A 2,612-nucleotide genomic window follows, 5' to 3' on the forward strand; every position below is an offset into this window, starting at 1 on the left:
GGTAAGCTTTTATTTTTTTATTTGATTTGTTCTTTATTAACAACCTCTGAAAGAAATAGGCAAACTTTGAAAAATACAGATGTGTGGATCTCACTCATCCCAGGCTGAATGAATCAGGAACTCCAAAAGTGAGTCGGGATGCTGGTATTTTGTGTTTGTTTTAGTTTGTTTGATTATGTGGTTGGTTGTTGGGTTTTGGTTCATAAACTTACCAGATGATGATTACAGCTAAGGTTGGGAATGACAAGTTGTGACTGGACAAGTAACTTCACTGTAAACCTCAGAATTTATTTCCTCAACTGTCAAATAAGGGCGATTAAGTTATTTCCCAGTTTCATTCACTCCAAAAAAAAACAAGAACAACAAAGAATGCCTCTCACTGAGCAAGCTCCACTGCCACTAGAAATTTGTGCTATGAACAATTCCCTATAACAAATGCCTTCCTTTCCTGCCCTTTTAAGATTATGAGACCATATGCTTTAAACAAGTAATTCTAGCCTGGGCAACATGGTGTGACTTCATCTTTACAAAAAATTTAAAAATTGGACAGGTATGGTGGCGCACACATCAGTAGTCCCAGCTACTTGGGAGGCCGAGATGGGAGAATTGCCTGAACCTGGGAGGTCAAGGCTGCAGTGAGCTATGATCACATCACTGTACTCCAGCCTGGGTGATGGAGCGAGATCCTGTCTCAAAAATAATAATTCTTTCTTGGCAGTTCATTATAGATTAAAGGTAGAGTTAGTTAAATTTTCTATAGGAATTCTTAAATATCCCCCACACTTTCCCATCTCAAGCCATCTAAGTTCCCAAATCACCCCCAGAACATCATGCTCAGAGAATTGTTCCTCCCTGGTGGTCTAATCACTTTTCAAGTGCTCATTCATTCCCAGTGCTAGAGGTTTCCAGGCTCTCCAGACCATGGTTGTCAGTTACCCTTTCCAATCATATGACTGTAGTATTTGACTACAGGGGCAAAGTAGCCGTCCTGAAGCTGTGTTCGGAGAATTTTGCTTGCCTAACATATACGTGGCTTGTTGGAGCTTCTCAGGGTTTTTTCCTAGGATTCTGTGCCTCTCTGTACCATCTTTATCCTGGTGACATCAAAGTGTTATTTTTAGCCCAGAATTCTGTTCTGAATTCCATTCTCCTATATCCAATGCTTTGTTGACACCCCCACTTGGAAGTTTCACAGACATACCCAAACTTACCATGTGCAAAATGGAACAGTTTTTTTCCTGCTTTCTCCCTAACCTGTTTCTACCACCTCTGCATCCTACCCCTGCTCACTCCAGTCCTTCCCATCTCAGGATATGGCACCACCACCCCAACCCGATTACAAACCATCAACACATCATTTGATATGCACTGCAAAATATATATTGAATCCGTCCATTCTTCTCCTTGTTCAGACTACCACCACCTTCTCCAGACCACTGCCCATCTCTTGCACTGCAGCAAGCTCATGACACTTCTCCCTACCCCCATTCTTATCTATTTCTAATCAAGTCATATGGTAGCCAATATGGATCCTTTAACAATCAGATTTGATCAATTCCCTCCTAAAACCTCTCCCTTCCATTGCTTCCCATTGCACTTAACATCCAAATTCCTACCCTGGCTGTAAGACCTTTCATGGTCTTGGCCTGCCTTTCCCTCCAAATTCATCCATATTACTTCATCTCATCCACCACACTCGAGTCCCACTGGTATATCTGGTCCTTGACTTTAACAAACTATTTCCTGCCTCACTGCCTTTGTATGTGGACATCCCTTTTGCCAAGAACACTTCTCTGTGTCATCTTATCTTTTAGGGCTTAACCCTGTTCAGAGAGTTGCTCTCTGGTCCTCCTGTCTAAAGTTGCTCTCCGGTCATCCTCTGAATGAATGGGACAGTGACTTTCTGTCTTAGCCCCTTACCTGTGGGTGCCATGAAGGAAATCATTGTATTGATATGATTTCTTTGTTTACTTGTCCCTTCATCTGTCTCGTGAGCCTCATCATGGCAAGGATGTGTTCTCTGTTTTATCTTCTGCCCTTGGCACAGAGTCTAGCACATGGTAGGTGTTCAAACATTGGTTGAATAAATAAGTGAAGAAATAACAATTAGTGCAATTAAGCAGAGTCGAGAGATTTCCTTTTTATTTTTTATTCTTTTTATTGTTATTTTAAACCAAAACATAATGATTGTTAAACATAGTTTAAGTTCTCTTGAACTTATTAGCCAAACAGGTTTGAAATCTAAAACAGGTTATGTTTCCAATGCTGACCTCTCCCTTCAGAAGCTGCTTTTCCTGTGAAGCTTCCTTGTGAGGTTGCTGTCATCTGCAGCTTCCATCAAGAGTCTAACAGATGGTTGTGGGTGGAGAGTGGCAGAAAATAGGCTTTGTTTTAAGAGTCCCAAGAGCTATTTTTCTGCTTATATTTATACAGAATTAGCAGTTGTACGCAAGTGTAGGAAAATCTGGGAGCAGGTTGGGTAGCCGCTGGTTTTGTCATTGTGTTTGTAAGCTAGAAAAATGTTCTCATTAATGATTTCTGTGAGATTCATATCTGGGGTCTGTGGATAACCAGTGTTTCTTCTCCTTCCCAAAGCATTGTCCTTTCAGGGT

Source organism: Homo sapiens, chromosome 2 (genome assembly GCF_000001405.40).
Source record: "Homo sapiens chromosome 2, GRCh38.p14 Primary Assembly".
Taxonomy (NCBI): Eukaryota; Metazoa; Chordata; class Mammalia; order Primates; family Hominidae; genus Homo; species Homo sapiens.